The sequence below is a fragment of the Homo sapiens genome, chromosome 8 (assembly GCF_000001405.40).
Source record: "Homo sapiens chromosome 8, GRCh38.p14 Primary Assembly".
Classification (NCBI taxonomy): Eukaryota; Metazoa; Chordata; class Mammalia; order Primates; family Hominidae; genus Homo; species Homo sapiens.
Genome location: NC_000008.11, coordinates 38381619 through 38396268, shown reverse-complemented (window position 1 = coordinate 38396268; position 14650 = coordinate 38381619). Strand labels below are relative to the sequence as shown.

Genomic DNA, 14650 nt, shown 5'->3' with positions numbered 1-14650 from the left:
TCGCTTGAACCTGGGAGGTGGAGGTTGCAGGGAGCCGAGATCGCACCATTGCACTCCAGCCTGGGCGACAGAGCGAGGCTCCATCTCAAAAAAAAAAAAATAAATAAATAAAAAAATAAAATGGATCACAGACATAAATCTAAGACACAAAACTGTAAAACTTCTAGAATAAAACAGGAGAAAAATGTAGGTGACCTTCAGTTGGGCAATAAGTTTTTAGCTACAACACTAAAAGCATGATTCATGAAAGAAAAAATTGATAAGCTGGATGTCATTAATCCTGAAAGCATTTGCTCTGTGAAAGACATGGTTAAGGAATGAAAAGATAAGCCACAGAGTAGAAGAAAACGTTTGCAAAATATATATCTGATAAAGGACTTTTACCCAAAATATACAAAGAACTCAGAATAATAATCAGAAAACAAAAAAACCCAATTAAAAAGTCAACCGAAGGGCTGGATGCAGTGGCTCACGCCTGTAATCCCAACACTTTGGGAGGCTGAGGTGTGTGGATCACCGGAGGTCAGGACATCGAGACCAGCCTGGCCAATATGGTGAAACCCTATCTCTACTAAAAATACAAAAATTAGCCAGGTGCAGTGGTGGACACCTCTATTTCTAGCTACTCGGGAGGCTGAGGCAGGAGAATCACTTGAACCCGGGAAGCAGAGGTTGCAGTGAGCTGAAATTGCACCACTGCACTCCAGCCTGGGTGACAGAGCCAGACTCCTTCTCAAAAAAAAAAAAGTCAACCAAAGATCTAAACAGACACCTCCCCAGAGAAGATACACAAATGGTAAATAAGCACAGGAAAGATACTCGACATCAGGAGACTGCAAATTAAAACAGTGAGATACCACTACACACCTGTTTCGTGGCTAATGTCTAGAGCACTGACAACATCAAATGCTGGTACTCTCATTTGTTGCTGGTGAGAATATAGAACAATACAGCCACTTCGGAAGACAGTTTAGCAATTTCTTAAAAGCTAAACATAGTCTTACCATATGATCCACCAATTACTCTCCTAGGCATTTACCCCAATGAGTTGAAAGCTTACATCCACACAAAAACCTGTACATAAGTGTCTATAGCAGTTTTATTCATAATTGTCAAAAACTGGAAGCAATCGAGGTGTCCTTTCATAGGAGAATGGATAAACAAGCTGTGGTACAGCCATACAATGGACTATCACTCAGTGATAAAAAGAATTGAGCAATGAAAAGAACTTGAAATGCATATTGCTAGGTGAAAGAAGCCAGTCTAAAATGGCTACACACTGTATGATCCCAACTATATGACATTCTGGAAAAGGCAAAACTACAGAGACAATAAAAAGATCAGTGGCTGCCATGGGTTGGGGGAGGAAAGAAGAGGGACAAATAGGTGGAGCACAGGGAATTTTTTTTTTTTTTTTTTTTTTGAGACAGGGTCTCCCCCTGTCACCCAGTGCCTCTGGAGTGCAGTGACACTATCATAGGTCATTGCAGCCTTGACCTCCTGGGCTCAAGTGATCCTCTTGCTTCAGCCTCCCAAGGAGCTGGGACCACAGGCATGAGCTACCATGCCCAACTAATTTTTGCATTTTTTGTAGAAATGGGGTCTCACTATGATACCCAGGCTGGTCTCAAACTCCTGGGCTCAGGCGATCCACCTGCCTCAACCTCCCAAAGTGCTAGAATTACAGACATAAGCCACTGTGCCTGGCCCACAGGGAATTTTTAGAGCAGTGAAACTATTTTGTATGATACTGTGATGGTGGATACATGAAATTATGCATTTGCAAAGCCCACAGAAATGCTTCAACATGAAGAGTGGACCCTAAAGTATGAGCTTTAATAATAACATGTCAATATTGGTTTTTTTAATCATTACAAATATAGCACACTAATGCAAGATATTAATTACAGGAGAAATTGGGATGGGGTTGGGTGGGGAGAAGTAGTACTTTCTGCCCAAGTTTTCTGTAAACCTAAAAACTCCTCTAATAAGGTTTATTAAATTTTATTAAAGTTAAAAAATCATACCTTTTTGGATTCACTTTCAAAAGTTGATGGCAACATCTCTGGGAAGAGTTTCAGAAACACTGGTAATAAGAATTCCATGAAGGGTACAATTAAGAACACCATAAATGGAACCAGGCGGAAGAAATCAACACAAGTTCTCAACAGCTATAGAATTAAATGCATATGCAATATTCATTATTTTAGGGCATGCCAAAAACAAAAATGAAAAACAAAACCAAAAAAACCCTGTCTTGTTTCATTTTCTTTCTTTCAAGAGATAGTGTCTCACTATGTTGCCCAGTCTGGCCTCAAACTCCTGGGCTCACGCAATCCTTCCACCTCAGCCTCCCAAGGAGCTGGGATTACAGGCATATGTGCCATGCTCAGCTTGGTTCTTAAAGTGTTAAAAACCCAAGACAGGTTTTCTGCAGCTGTTTATAAAATGAAGAGGCAGGGTTTTCCTGTTTACCATAGCTCTGAAGTAACTTTTAGGGGCTATCTTGAAGGAAATCTATGACAATAAAAATATTATTGGCATCTCCTAGACTTCATCTATGTTAGAGGGTCCATACTTTAATAGCATTGTATTACTTAAAATTGTTTTTTTGTTTGTTTGTTTTTTTGAGATGGCATCTCACTCCAGGCTGGAGTGCAGTGGCACGATCTCGGCTCGCTGCAACCTCCGCCTCCCAAGTTCAAGCCATTCTCCTGCCTCAGCCTCCTGGGTAGCTGGGACTACAGGCACGTGCCACCATGCCCGGCTAATTTTTGTATTTTTTTTAGTAGACAAGGGTTTCATCGTGCTGGCCAGTCTGGTCTTGAACTCCTGACCTCAAGTGATCCGCCCGCCTCAGCCTCCCAAAGTGCTGGGATTACAGGCATAAGCCATCGTGCCCAGCCAAAATTGGGTTTTAAAAATGCATATGCTTAATATATTAACAACAGTTGAAACATGAAGCCCCTCAACTTCTTGGAAAGATTAAAAAACACAATTATAACTATTCTACAAACATGCACATGTACCCCTGAACCTAAAATAAAAGTTTTTTTTAAAAACCGTTATACAGGAAAATATATAACAAATTTCAGAATACTGACTAAAGTTGTACAGTAAGTCGGTTGCAGACAAGAAACTGGTTCTCACCAGCAGTTATTATTCCTACTCTGGGATTTTTAAGATGAAGTTTACGTTGAATTTAAATAGTTGAGTTCCCAAATAGTTCATTTTAATTTCACATTTTCTTTCTCAAATATGATTCTTGCCTACCCTTCGTCTCTCTCGTCTGGTCAGGACCTGTCCATGCAACAGCCTCCAAACCATTCTGGCAGCAACTTTGGCGTCAATCCAAAGTAAGTAGAATCCATTGTAATAATATTTTAGTTCATCCATGATTTTTTGTCTATAAGATTGTTTGCCTTCTTTAATCTCCATGCCAGTTTCTTTTGTGGCCTGAGGGCTTGTCACCTGTGGATGTTTTGTGGCTTGCTCCAGCTGAGGTTTGCCAGGAACTTCTTGCAGCCAGCAAGTGGATGTGTGTAGCTTTTGTATTAGTCTAGTTCCTGGGTGAAGTACTGTATTGCCTGGCTGACTAGGATCCGAGTACTTCTTGCTCTCATAGTTCTTCATACATGTCTTATTTAAATGGGAATCTGGCAAGTGAAGAAATGCACATGATGGGGAATAAGAAGAGCAGGTAGGATGGACAAAATGGCTAGGGAATCTGGAATAAAAAGCAACATCCTCTGAGTTAAGTACATACTATTACAAAGCACACACTATCATAAAGCACATATTATTAAAGAAATAGATAGTACATCTGGTCAAAATAAAACAGCTTTTTTTTTTTTCCACTCCCATTGCCCAGGCTGGAGTGCAGTGGTGCAATCTCGGCTCACTACAACCTACGCCATCTGGGCTCAAGCGATTCTCCTGCCTCAGCCTTCTAAGTAGCTAGGATTACAGGCACAGGCCACCATGCCCAGCTAATTTTTGTATTTTTAGTAGAGTCGGGTTTTCACCACATTGGCCAGGATAATCTCAAACTCCTGACCTCAAGTGATCCGCCTGCCTTGGCCTCCCTAAGTACTGGAATTACAGGCATGAGCCACCATGCCTGGCCAAGGAATATTGTTTCAAAGAAACATTTGATGGTCACTGTAGGAATTAACCAGTCACATAATACCGCCTTGCCTATGCAGTGTCTTTGAACCCCTCAAATGAGAGGAACTTACAGCTGAAATACCCTTCACCTAAATTCTTCTAGAACATTGGGCTGGCCGCGATGGCTCATGCCTGTAATCCCAGCGCTTTGCGAGGCCAAGGCAGGTGGATCACCTGAGGTCAGGAGTTCAAGACCAGCCTGGCCAACATGGTGAAACCCTGTCTCTACTAAAAATACAAAAATTAGCCGGGTGTGGTGTCATGCACCTGTAATCCCAGCTACTAGGGAGGCTGAGGCAGGAGAATCGCTTGAACCCAGGAGGTGAAGGTTGCAGTGAGACAAGACTATGCCACTGCACTCCAGCCTGGGCAACAGAACAAGACACCGTCTCAAAAAAAAAAAAATTAGAATTGGGCACCCCAATTAAGGGTCTCTAGCTTCTGGTATTGCAACAGCCCACAGTTTGCAGTTAAACTACCATATCAGATTGTTTGAGAATAAAAATATGGGCCAGGCACAGTGGCTCACGCCTGTAATCCCAGCACTTTGGGAGGCCAAGGCGGGCGGATCAAGAGATCGAGACCATCCTGGCCAACTTGGTGAAACCCCATCTCTACTAAAAATACAAAAATTAGCTGGGCGTGGTGGCACGTGCCTGTAGTCCCAGCTACTCGGGAGGCTGAGGCAGGAGAATCACTTGAACCTGGGAGGCAGAGGTTGCAATAAGCCAAGATCGTGCCACTGCACTCCAGCCTGGCGACAAAGCGAGACTTGTCTAAAAAAAAAAAAAAAAAAAAAAACTAAAATAAAATAAAATAAAAATATGACAGATACTGGCAAAGAAAGTTACTGGCAAAGAGATGTCTTTTTCCATTCTTTCAGTTTTTTGGTTTTTTTTTTTGTTTTTTTTTTTTTTTTTGAGACAGGAGGAGTCTCACTCTGTCACCCAGGCTGGAGTACAGTGGCATGATCACGGCTCACTGCAGCCATGACCTCCTAGGCTCATGTGGAAGAAATCAACACAAGTTCTCAACAGCTATAGAATTAAATGCATATGCAATATTCATTATTTTAGAACATGCCAAAAACAAAACCAAAAACAAAAGCAAAAAAAATTTGTCGCCAGGCACGCTGGCTCATGCCTGTAATCCCAGCACTTTGGGAGGCTGAGGAAGGTGGATCACGAGGTCAAGAGATCTAGACCATCCTGGCCAACATGGTGAAACCCCATCTCTACCAAAAATACAAAAATTAGCTGGGCGTGGTGGAGTGCACCTGTAGTCCCAGCTACTCGGGAGGCTGAGGCAGGAGAATTGCTTGAACCCAGGAGGCGGAGGCTGCAGTGAGCCAAGATTGCGCCACTGCACTCCAGCCTGGTGACAGAGCAAGACTCTGTCTCACAAAAAAACAAAAAACAAAAAACAAAAAAACAAAAATAAAAAATTTGTCTTGGTTCTTTTTTTTTTTTTTTTTTTTTCTGAGACAGAGTCTCACTCTGTTGCCCAGGCTGGAGTGCAGTGACGCGATCTTGACTCACTGCAACCTCCGCCTCCTGGGTTCAAATGATTCTCCTGCCTCAGCCTCCCGAGTATCTGGGAATACAGGTGCCTGCCACCACACCTGGCTAATCTTTATATTTTTAGTAGAGACGGGGTTTCACCATGTTGGCAAGACTGGTCTCGAACTGCTGACCTCAAGTGATCTGCCTGCCTTGGCCTCCCAAAGTGCTGGGATTACAGGTGTGAGCCATCACACCCGGCTCTTTTTTTTCTCTTTCTGTTTAAGACACAGAGTCTTGCTATGTTGCCCAGGCTGGCCTCAAACCCCTGGGCTAAAGCAATCTTCCTACCTCGGCCTCCCAAGGAGCTGAGATTACAGGCATATGCACCATGCCTGGCTTGGTTCTTAAGGTGTTAAAAACCGAGGCTGGAGTAGAGTGGTGTGATCACAGCTCACTGCAGCCTCGACCTCCCAGGCTCAGCATCCTGAGTAGCTAGGACTACAGGCCCGCACCACCACGCCCAGCTAGTTTTAAAAATTTTTGTAGAGATGAGGTCTTGCTATGTTATCCAGGCTGTTCTTTTTTTTTTTTTTTTTTTTTTGAGACGGAGTCTCACTCTGTTGCCCAGACTGGAGTGCAGTGGTGTGATCTCGGCTCACTGCAACCTCCACCTCCCAGGTTCAAGCGATTCTCCTGCTTTAGCCTCCTGAGTAGCTGGGACTACAGCTGCATGCCACCACGTCCAGCTAATTTTTGTATTTTTAGTAGAGACGGGGTTTCACCACATTGGCCAGGATGGTCTCGATCTCTTGACCTTGTGGTCCACCCGCCTCGGCCTCCCAAAGTGTTGGGATTACAGGCGTGAGCCACAGTGCCTGGCCCCAGGCTGTTCTTGAACTCCTGGGCTCGAGCTATCTTCCTGTCTAGGCTTCCAAAAGTACTGAGATTATAGGTGTGAGCCACTGCAGCCAGCCTCAGACTATTTTTGAAGCATGCCAAGATAAAACGCTCTTTGAATGGCCAAAAAGGGAAAAGTAAGTGCTCAGTGAATAGTCTTTAGTCTCAGTGAATAAATAAATGGTGGCCGGGCACGGTGGCTCACGCCTGTAATCCCAGCAGTTTGGGAGGCTGAGGTGGGTGGATCACTTGAGGTCAGGAGTTCAAGATCAGCCTGGCCAACATGGAGAAACACCATCTCTATAAAAATACAAAAAAATTAGCTGGGCATGGTGGCCCATGCCTGTAATCCCAGCTACTCGGGAGGCTGAGACAGGAGACTCACTTGAACCCAGGAGGCAGAGGTTGCAATGAGCCAAGATTGTGCCATTGCACTCCAGCTTGGGCAATAGAGCGAGATTTCATCTCAAAAATAAATAAATAAATAAATAAATAAATAATGGTAACAGACCCTAATGGGACACGAATATGCCCTAAGACTGGCTGTTCATCAGCCATTTTACTCGCTTTACATCTAAGGACCTCACGTGATGTTCATCAATTACAGAGATGTCACTCTAAAACCAGTACATCTTCTGGCTGGGCACAGTGGCTCACGCCTTTAATCCCAGCACTTTGGGAAGCCCAGGCTGGCGGATTACCTGAGGTCAGGAGTTCAAGACCAGCCTGGCCAACATGGCGAAACCCCATCTGTACTAAAAATACAAAAATTAGTGGGACATGGCGGCGCATGCCTGTAATCCCAGCTACTTGTGAGGCTGAGGCAGGAAAATCTCTTGAACCTGGGAGTTGGAGGTTGCAGTGAGCCAAGATATCATGCCACTGCACTCCAGCCTGGGCAACAGAGTGATAATCCGTCCCAAAAAAGAAAACAAAAACAAACAAACAAAAAAAACTACATCTTCTTTTCTTTTTTTTTTTTGAGATGGATTTTTACTCTTGTTGCCCAAGCTGGAGTGCAGTGGCCCAGTCTTGGCCCACTGCAACCTCCGCCTCCCAGGTTCAAGCGATTCTCCTGTCTCAGCCTCACAAGTGCTGGGATTATAGGTACCTGCCACCATGCCGGCTAATTTTTGCAGTTTTAGTAGAGACGGGGTTTCACCATGTTGGTCAGGCTGGTCTTGAACTCCTGACCTCAGGCAATCCGCTCGCCTTGGCCTCCCAAAGTGCTGGGATTACAGGTGTGAGCCACTGCACCCAGCCTCCAAGAAACTTTTAATTGTGTACTAAGCCAATCCTTTCCATCTAGAAGGATGAAATTCAGGCCAGGCGAGGTGACTCACGCCTGTAATCCCAGCACTTTGGGAGCCCAAGGCAGGCGGATCACCTAAGGTCAGGAGTTCCAGAGCAGCCTGGCCAACATGGTGAAACCTCGTCTCTACTGAAAATACAAAGATTAGCCGGAGGTGGTGGCAAACACCTGTAATCCCAGTTACTTGGAGGCTGAGGGAGGAGAGTAGCTTGAACCCGGGAGGCAGAGGTTGCAGTGAGCCGAGATTGCACCATTGAACTCCAGCCTGGGCGACAGAGTGCGACTCCATCTCAGAAAAAAAAAAAAAAAAGAAGAAGAAGAAGAATTACGTTCATATTGGGGGGTAACTCCAATGCTTACCTTGTTCGAGCAATAGCCAGAACTGAATTATAACTGTAGAAGGCCATATTTATTTTTGTCTCAAGTAGTTAACATAGGGACCTAGGCAAAAGGAGTAAGTAAACAATTTAGTAGTTTAAAAATACATCAATTAAAAGACATCAGGATTTTAGTGTTTTTAACTATTGCAAAGGTAGAACATTTGCATAGTTAAGGTACAAAACCTCCTTCAAGCTCATTTCCAACAATCAGATATTTTCGTAGCTCTGGACTTGAGAATGGTACTTTGAGATTCCAACAAACGGTAATGATCTCTAAGATGATGATGCTCATGAAGATGGTACAATCTTCAGAGACATTTTGATTTCTGGTCAATAGTATCTAGTAATGCAACTTCAATGATTGCCAAGTACTTAAAAGTAGAGCAATACATATCTATCTGTAGCCTTAAAATATAGGTAGAAAGTGAATATTCTGAATTTCTTTTCAGTTAGCATTGTTCTATATTTAGGCAAGTTGTCCCAAACCCTGAATATTGGACGTACCCACTAATCTAATTTATGTAGCAGTGGATGAAGGTAGACATGCAACCTACTAATCGCTCAAGTGGAGGTAAAACTGTTTCCCTTGCTACTGATTCTCCAGAGCCCAAACTGAGCTTTGAACCTGTAAATAACCTTCACCAAAACCCATCTCCATCCAGGGGCGCTTTTCTGCTAAGGGCCGCGAGGAACGGCAGAAGAGCTGACATTCCCAATGGCAGCTTTGCTCTCTTGTGGTTGGGAAAAGAGTTCCAGGAGCTCTCCTGAATAGAAACCTTAGCCACAGAGCTGACATTTTCAACAGGGGCTCGAAACCTGTGGACCCACACTAACGGTGGGTGGTGTTTCGCGGGCAGGAGACGACACCTGAGGCGGCGGTTAATCCGCTCGGGCCCGGGCGCTCCCGGGCGGCGGACACCACTCGCACTCGCATTGGCGCCGCCCCACGCCCGCTGCTCCCGGGCTCCCTCGGCTTTGCCCATCACCACACGGGAGCAAAACGCGCCCTCGGCTTCCTCGCCCGGCGGCTTCGGCGCGCCTGATGTGTGCGCGGCCTGCATGCGGCGGGGTCTGGGGGATATGCTTTGGTTTTCTGGTGCGGAGGTGGGACAGGCACGGGAACGACGACCCTCGTGGATGATCGGGGTTGTTGGAAATGAAGCCGAGGAGAAAGAAGCAGGGCCTGGGACGGAAAAAAGGACGGAGCGCGCTGTGCGGGGAAGGGGGAGGAGAGGCCGAGCTTCAGAGTTCGCGCTGTGCTGGGGAACTGGCGGGGATGAGGTCGTGGGTGGAGGAGAGCGCGGTGGGAACTGGAAGCTGTCAGAAGCCTGGATCATGCTCTGATGAGAGGAGCAGGATGCGGACCGAGCGGGATCCGGAGGAAAAAAAGGCAGCGCGGCCCACCAGGTCGCGGCCTGAGGGCTGGGCCTGCCCACCCCTACCTCCTCGGCCGGGCTCCGCGGAACGGCCGCCTAGGTCCTCCCAGCTCCTTCCCGGGACCCCCAAGCTAGAAGGGCCCGAAGCCAAGTCTCTACGGTTCCGCCTCTTTCCTCGCCCCTGACGTCACTCTGAGTGACGACATCGCCAACCAATAAGCTCTCAAGTTCTGGGGAGGGCGGGCGTCCTTCACCTTAGCAGCCCAGGAAGCCGCAAAGTCGCGTTTACATCGCCGAAGTGACTTCTTTGTGGGGCTTGGTTTAAGGCGCGTTGGTGCTGGGGGGCCCGAAGGTGACGTTTTTCTGCCAGTCCACACTCCGCAGGCAGTGGCTAACGCCCGAGGAAACCCGTGATTGAAGACTGGATTAAACAGGCTCTTTCCCTGACAGCTTAATATGTCTGATAGTCGCCATGGTAACCATTTCGGAGTCATGAATGACATCACTTTGATGTATTCTCCCTCGGACCCTGCAAATCCGGAACTGCCAGAGGGGCGCTGAGAGGATTTGATGGTGTCGCAGAAAGGGCGGGAATCGGAAGGAGCGCATTCCTCTCCCTTCCTCTCCAGAGGCTGGAATACTGTGAAATCTTCATATGGAAATCTGTATTCTACTAAAAATATTTGCTTTCTCAATGGTCCCTTAACAAGTGTTGTTTGTGATTAATAATTTGTATAGAAATCTCAGCATATAAAATGTATGTTATAGTAGCTGTGAAATGACAGACACTGCAGGTTTGAGGGCACTTCAGTTCCTAGGATGGCCAACTGAGCCATCTTGGGAAAATGAAACATCTAGAAATATTCTCATTCCCCAGTTATCTTTTCCCATCCATTTTATCTGGCTCCAGAAGAAAGAGTTAAAAATTTTTTTTATTTAGGCTGGGCGCGGTGGCTCACGCCTGTGATCCCAGCACTTTGGGAGGCCGAGGCGGGCGGATCACAAGGTCAGGAGACAGAAAACATCTTGGCCAACATGGTGAAACCCTGTCTCTACTAAAAAAAAATACAAAAATTAGCCGGGCATGGTGGCGTGCGCCTGTAGTTCCGGCTACTCTGGAGGCTGAGGCAGGAGAATCGCTTGAACCCGGGAGGCAGGGGTTGCAGTGAGTCGAGATCGCGCCACTGCACTCCAGCCTGGGCGACAAGAGCGAGATTCCACCTCAAAAAAAAATTTTTTTTTTCTTAGTGGCTCTACTCGACCACCATACAGCAAGGAATCGCTTTCTCACGGAGAATACGTCTCCTGACATGTGAGCTGACCACAGACTTTACTCATCTGGGCTACACATTTTTAAGAATGGAAGATGGCGGTATTAAACGTCAGTAAAAAATGCAGACTGCTTTTAATCCACAAAGGATTTTTCAGCTAATAACCAAATAGATCCACTGTTAAATAGGCAAAACTTTTCAGTTTGGCCACTAGAGGTCTCTTTGTGCATGTCTGATGTTCAACTTTGCACATAAAGGTTTCACTTCACGTTCTGTTTACCAGTATTAAAATCTACAAAGCTTTGGACTCTTTACTTTTCCCTCACTGAAAATTCCTGGTGGTCAAATTTTGAGCTCTAGAAGGTAGATGTAGTTTTCACACTAATTTCATAAATTAATCATTGCACTACCATGTACTGGTACTTTTCTGGAAAAGATCTTAAAGGATGCAAAAATATTTTCAGTTCCCTGGGAGACATTTTATACGGGGAAATATTCTTATTCATGCATTGTATTCACTTACAACCAGGCACAGTGAATATCATTAAGTATTCATAAACCAGATGAACGATTCCATGCCCAGTATTTGAAAGATGAGCTAGGTTTTCTACCATGGCCATATGTCAGCAATCCTATCCTAAAAAGGGAAGGGCTAAGAACTCTTCTTATTGAGATATCTGTTCAAAGTAATGTCCGTCTTCCCTAGTTATGAGACTTGGCAATTTCTTTGACTTTCAGGATAAGAGATTTATCATGTAAGATTCTGTATGTAATCTTCAGAAGAGAAATTTTTAAAAAAATATTTTTTCCTCCATGACTCTGGCCCTGAGAATTGTGTTAGATTGCTGTCTTAATGAGCTCCTTGTTCATTTTCTATGGCGAACAGTAAGCATCGTCTAAACCTCAGAAGATGTTAGATACTGAAAATGTAAACTATTATTTTTAATGGCCATTTTCCTAAATATGCCACCAGATCAAGTATACTAACTGTATTTTGTAATGTTTTGCAGGAAAAGACTATGCATCTACTTCACATAACTCCAATTTTAAACTCTTGCTGTCAGCATAGCTATTAGAAACAGGCTAATATAAGATCCCTGGGGACAATTTACTAGATTCTCCTCAAGGGAGAAACCCAGGTGCCGGGTCAAGGCAACAGTTTATCAACAAAGCAAGGAAGACACAGGAGGAAGAAAAAGAAGAATGGAGGTAGAAAGGCTCATAGAAAAAAAAAAAAGACCAATTTAATCCCTCTTTCCTGGAGATAGAATTAAGCTAGACTTGGTGGCCCGCTTTGGCCATCTGTGTTTTAAAATGTCATATCACAAATAAAAAGTATGCTTTTACTGATAGCTGTAACTTGTGGTACTACTTAAAGCATACGTTTAAAAATATTTAATGATTAATAGTAATGAGATTTTTTTTTTTTTTTTTGAGACATAGCCTCTCTGTGTCGCCCAGGCTGGAGTGCAGTGGCGCGATCTCGGCTCACTGCAAGCTCCGCTTCCCGGGTTCACGCCATTCTCCTGCCTCAGCCTCCTGAGTAGCTGGGACTACAGGCGCCCCCCACCACGCCCGGCTAATTTTTTGTATTTTTAGTAGAGACGGGGTTTCACCGTCTTAGCCAGGATGGTCTCGATTTCCGGACCTCGTGATCCGCCTGCCTCGGCCTCCCAAAGTGCTGGGATTACAGGCGTGAGCCACTGCGCCCAGCCAATACTGATAATTCTCAGTATCTAGTATTAACCGGGTTACGTTTAAAAAAAATAGTTCATAATTAGTGCCCTTTTAAATAACTGATCTGTAGAAATCATTTAATTTCCTTAAGTGATATTTAAAGATAGAGATATCTAATTTCTTGTAATAGTACCAAAGACATCCAGCACTATAACGTCTACAGAGTATGACGTCTAGCGGTAAAATGGCTTTATTCTCAGAACAGAGTATCGGTTTCCTCATTTGCTTGCTGCCTCTGTTTCCTTTTTACGTTCACGTCTCTGTGCTGTAACCTTCCAAATCCTTATCACCAGGCCCCAGGAAATATCACCTGGTCGGCACACTCCTGCAGGGCCAGATCACTGTGCACACACTTAACCTTCCATTGTTTTCCATACGTTTCCTAGGATGCGGGGGGCTAGAGGATGACGGAGAGTTGCCTCCCGGTTCTTCCTCTCGTTCTTATCTTGGGCCCTCTAGGACAAATGTCCCTCACGTCCCTCGATGCGAAGGTCTGGCCGCGAGCAGCCGCGGCCTCCGGCACGTGACGGTCACGGAGCCGTCGCGGTCCCCCGCGGCTGGGGGGCACCCGGGGATGCGGCGGGCGCTGACGTCGTCCTCCCGGTTACCCACAAGCCTCCGGGCCGCAGCAGAGCAGGAAGAGGCGCGCGGGGCCGGCGCCTGCCGGGGAGGTCGAGGCGCTCCCTCGGCGAGCCGGCGCCGCCGGCCGGGTCTCCTACTGCTTGCAACCGGGGGAGGGGGACCATCCGACAGCTCAGCCGGGGCTGAGAGGGAGACGACGCCAAGGCGGTCTTGCATCGCCCCCGGCTTTCCAAATGCAGACCCTACCGGAACCGGAGCCCTTCCCTGACAGCCGTAGGACGGGAGACGGCCGAGGGGTCGCCTGGACTGCCCCGCCCTCGCGCGGTGACCCACCGGGGACCGTGCGAGGGTCGCTTCTAACCCTTAAGAGCTAGAGAGCCGAGTCACCCTGAGGAGCGCCGTATGGCGCTGGTTGCGCGTTGTTCTTTAATCAGCCTCACTGAACGCGCCGATCCCAGTTTTACCTCCCGGGCCCCACCTTTCCACGCCTCCTCCGGCTTCCCGGGGTGTTTTGTGTGTCACTCTCCCACGTACAGTCCCTCCCCGTCCCTCGTTCCTCGGCCCTCTCGCCCGGTCTCCCTAGTCGTCCAGACGCTAGCTGCCGCGGGCGTTCCTGGTTCGCGCTCCCGCCCCCTCCGCCCCGCCGACTCGCCGCTTCCTCCGGAGCCCCAGCGTCCCGAACCAGGGACTGCATTTCCCGGCAGGCGCCGCGGCCCGCGGCCAATGAGGGGCTGAGGATTTGGCGGCGGCGGCGCCCCGAGAGTCGGGGTGGGGGGGCTTTGTGCGCGGCGGCGGCGGGAGAGGCGGCGGCGGCGGCCAGCACGGAGGCGGAGGCCGAGGGGGCTGTGCACAGGTCGCCGCGGAGAGGCGTGCGAATTCCGAGCCGAGCGCCGAGGACCGTGCTACCCAGGCCGGGCTGCCAGCCGCAGGCTCCTCTCTGGCAGCAGCGGCGGCGCGGCGACCCCCGTCCCTCGGCCTCCCCTTCCCATCCCACCTCCCGAGCCTTCCTCTTCCCGCAGCACGCCCGGCCCGGCCCGGCCGTGGCCCTCCTCAGTGCCGGCCGCCATGGCAGAGGCGTCCGGCGCGGGGAAAATCTAGCCCGGGGATTTCATGCGGCCTAGCTCGGTTCCGCCTCCTCCTCGCGCGGCCCCAGCGGCTGCCCGCACCCCAGCCCCACTCCGGGCCTCCGTGTCTCTCCTGTGATCGCACTGACACGGCCGGGGGGTTAGAATGGAACAAACTGAAGGTAAAGTGCGTGTGCGTGTGTGTATGTGTGTGTGTGTGTGTGTGTGTGTGTGCGCGCGCGCGCGTGTGTAGTGCTAGGAAGGGCTGAGGAGGGAACGACGGGGAGGGGGCGACCTAGGGATGGAGCGCCAGACCCCAGGAGGAATGGAAGGGGAAGCGGGTGGCCTGAAAGGGCTCGAGG

At 47.7% G+C, this 14650-nt stretch overlaps 2 protein-coding genes across 20 annotated transcripts in view, besides 16 other annotated features; one reads left to right on the top strand and one right to left on the bottom strand.

Moving 5' to 3' along the window:
• Window positions 1-13838, bottom strand: part of LETM2 (leucine zipper and EF-hand containing transmembrane protein 2) — a 27097-nt gene extending 13259 nt beyond the window's left edge. For 4 of the 18 annotated variants that reach the window (XR_007060702.1, NM_001286819.2, XM_047421383.1 and 1 more), the window contains exons 1-4: window positions 9701-9793; window positions 8239-8319; window positions 3274-3727; window positions 2028-2171 (exon numbers count right to left, since the gene is read on the bottom strand). Coding sequence is in view for 17 of the 18 variants with exons in the window: in NM_001286819.2 (NP_001273748.1) it covers window positions 2028-2171; window positions 3274-3727; window positions 8239-8285 (645 nt within the window). In the remaining variant the exon portion in view is untranslated. Of the gene's footprint in view, window positions 1-1815; window positions 3728-8238; window positions 8320-8762; window positions 9128-9700; window positions 9794-9888; window positions 13660-13702 lie in introns of those variants that run through there. The other 14 variants (XM_017013056.2, XM_017013053.2, NM_001363204.1 and 11 more) reach the window with 14 other exon arrangements.
• Window positions 5006-5507: an enhancer, noted in NCBI's record as "OCT4 hESC enhancer chr8:38248280-38248781 (GRCh37/hg19 assembly coordinates)". NCBI's record gives its function as "activates a minimal SCP1, AML or CMV promoter by ChIP-STARR-seq in naive H9 embryonic stem cells {active_cell/tissue: H9 hESC(naive)}" and the evidence as "EXISTENCE:reporter gene assay evidence [ECO:0000049][PMID:30033119]".
• Window positions 6286-6787: an enhancer, noted in NCBI's record as "OCT4 hESC enhancer chr8:38247000-38247501 (GRCh37/hg19 assembly coordinates)". NCBI's record gives its function as "activates a minimal SCP1, AML or CMV promoter by ChIP-STARR-seq in primed H9 embryonic stem cells {active_cell/tissue: H9 hESC(primed)}" and the evidence as "EXISTENCE:reporter gene assay evidence [ECO:0000049][PMID:30033119]".
• Window positions 9077-9126: a silencer, noted in NCBI's record as "silent region_19125". NCBI's record gives its function as "represses an Ori minimal core promoter by ATAC-STARR-seq in GM12878 lymphoblastoid cells {active_cell/tissue: GM12878}" and the evidence as "EXISTENCE:reporter gene assay evidence [ECO:0000049][PMID:35858748]".
• Window positions 9167-9306: a silencer, noted in NCBI's record as "silent region_19124". NCBI's record gives its function as "represses an Ori minimal core promoter by ATAC-STARR-seq in GM12878 lymphoblastoid cells {active_cell/tissue: GM12878}" and the evidence as "EXISTENCE:reporter gene assay evidence [ECO:0000049][PMID:35858748]".
• Window positions 9167-9735: a biological region, named in NCBI's record as "OCT4 hESC enhancer GRCh37_chr8:38244052-38244553".
• Window positions 9234-9735: an enhancer, noted in NCBI's record as "OCT4 hESC enhancer chr8:38244052-38244553 (GRCh37/hg19 assembly coordinates)". NCBI's record gives its function as "activates a minimal SCP1, AML or CMV promoter by ChIP-STARR-seq in primed H9 embryonic stem cells {active_cell/tissue: H9 hESC(primed)}" and the evidence as "EXISTENCE:reporter gene assay evidence [ECO:0000049][PMID:30033119]".
• Window positions 9857-9936: an enhancer, noted in NCBI's record as "active region_27249". NCBI's record gives its function as "activates an Ori minimal core promoter by ATAC-STARR-seq in GM12878 lymphoblastoid cells {active_cell/tissue: GM12878}" and the evidence as "EXISTENCE:reporter gene assay evidence [ECO:0000049][PMID:35858748]".
• Window positions 9857-10518: a biological region, named in NCBI's record as "OCT4-NANOG-H3K4me1 hESC enhancer GRCh37_chr8:38243269-38243898".
• Window positions 9889-10518: an enhancer, noted in NCBI's record as "OCT4-NANOG-H3K4me1 hESC enhancer chr8:38243269-38243898 (GRCh37/hg19 assembly coordinates)". NCBI's record gives its function as "activates a minimal SCP1, AML or CMV promoter by ChIP-STARR-seq in primed H9 embryonic stem cells {active_cell/tissue: H9 hESC(primed)}" and the evidence as "EXISTENCE:reporter gene assay evidence [ECO:0000049][PMID:30033119]".
• Window positions 9957-10196: an enhancer, noted in NCBI's record as "active region_27248". NCBI's record gives its function as "activates an Ori minimal core promoter by ATAC-STARR-seq in GM12878 lymphoblastoid cells {active_cell/tissue: GM12878}" and the evidence as "EXISTENCE:reporter gene assay evidence [ECO:0000049][PMID:35858748]".
• Window positions 10519-11149: an enhancer, noted in NCBI's record as "H3K4me1 hESC enhancer chr8:38242638-38243268 (GRCh37/hg19 assembly coordinates)". NCBI's record gives its function as "activates a minimal SCP1, AML or CMV promoter by ChIP-STARR-seq in primed H9 embryonic stem cells {active_cell/tissue: H9 hESC(primed)}" and the evidence as "EXISTENCE:reporter gene assay evidence [ECO:0000049][PMID:30033119]".
• Window positions 13092-13441: a silencer, noted in NCBI's record as "silent region_19123". NCBI's record gives its function as "represses an Ori minimal core promoter by ATAC-STARR-seq in GM12878 lymphoblastoid cells {active_cell/tissue: GM12878}" and the evidence as "EXISTENCE:reporter gene assay evidence [ECO:0000049][PMID:35858748]".
• Window positions 13632-13781: a silencer, noted in NCBI's record as "silent region_19122". NCBI's record gives its function as "represses an Ori minimal core promoter by ATAC-STARR-seq in GM12878 lymphoblastoid cells {active_cell/tissue: GM12878}" and the evidence as "EXISTENCE:reporter gene assay evidence [ECO:0000049][PMID:35858748]".
• Window positions 13812-14211: a silencer, noted in NCBI's record as "silent region_19121". NCBI's record gives its function as "represses an Ori minimal core promoter by ATAC-STARR-seq in GM12878 lymphoblastoid cells {active_cell/tissue: GM12878}" and the evidence as "EXISTENCE:reporter gene assay evidence [ECO:0000049][PMID:35858748]".
• Window positions 13812-14650: a biological region, named in NCBI's record as "H3K27ac hESC enhancer GRCh37_chr8:38239137-38239927".
• Window positions 13860-14650: an enhancer, noted in NCBI's record as "H3K27ac hESC enhancer chr8:38239137-38239927 (GRCh37/hg19 assembly coordinates)". NCBI's record gives its function as "activates a minimal SCP1, AML or CMV promoter by ChIP-STARR-seq in naive and primed H9 embryonic stem cells {active_cell/tissue: H9 hESC(naive and primed)}" and the evidence as "EXISTENCE:reporter gene assay evidence [ECO:0000049][PMID:30033119]".
• NSD3 (nuclear receptor binding SET domain protein 3) overlaps window positions 13998-14650 on the top strand; it is a 112568-nt gene continuing 111915 nt past the window's right edge. For both annotated transcript variants that reach the window (NM_023034.2, NM_017778.3), the window contains exon 1: window positions 13998-14470. The gene's annotated coding sequence lies outside the window, so the exon portion shown is untranslated. The remainder of the gene's footprint in view (window positions 14471-14650) is intronic.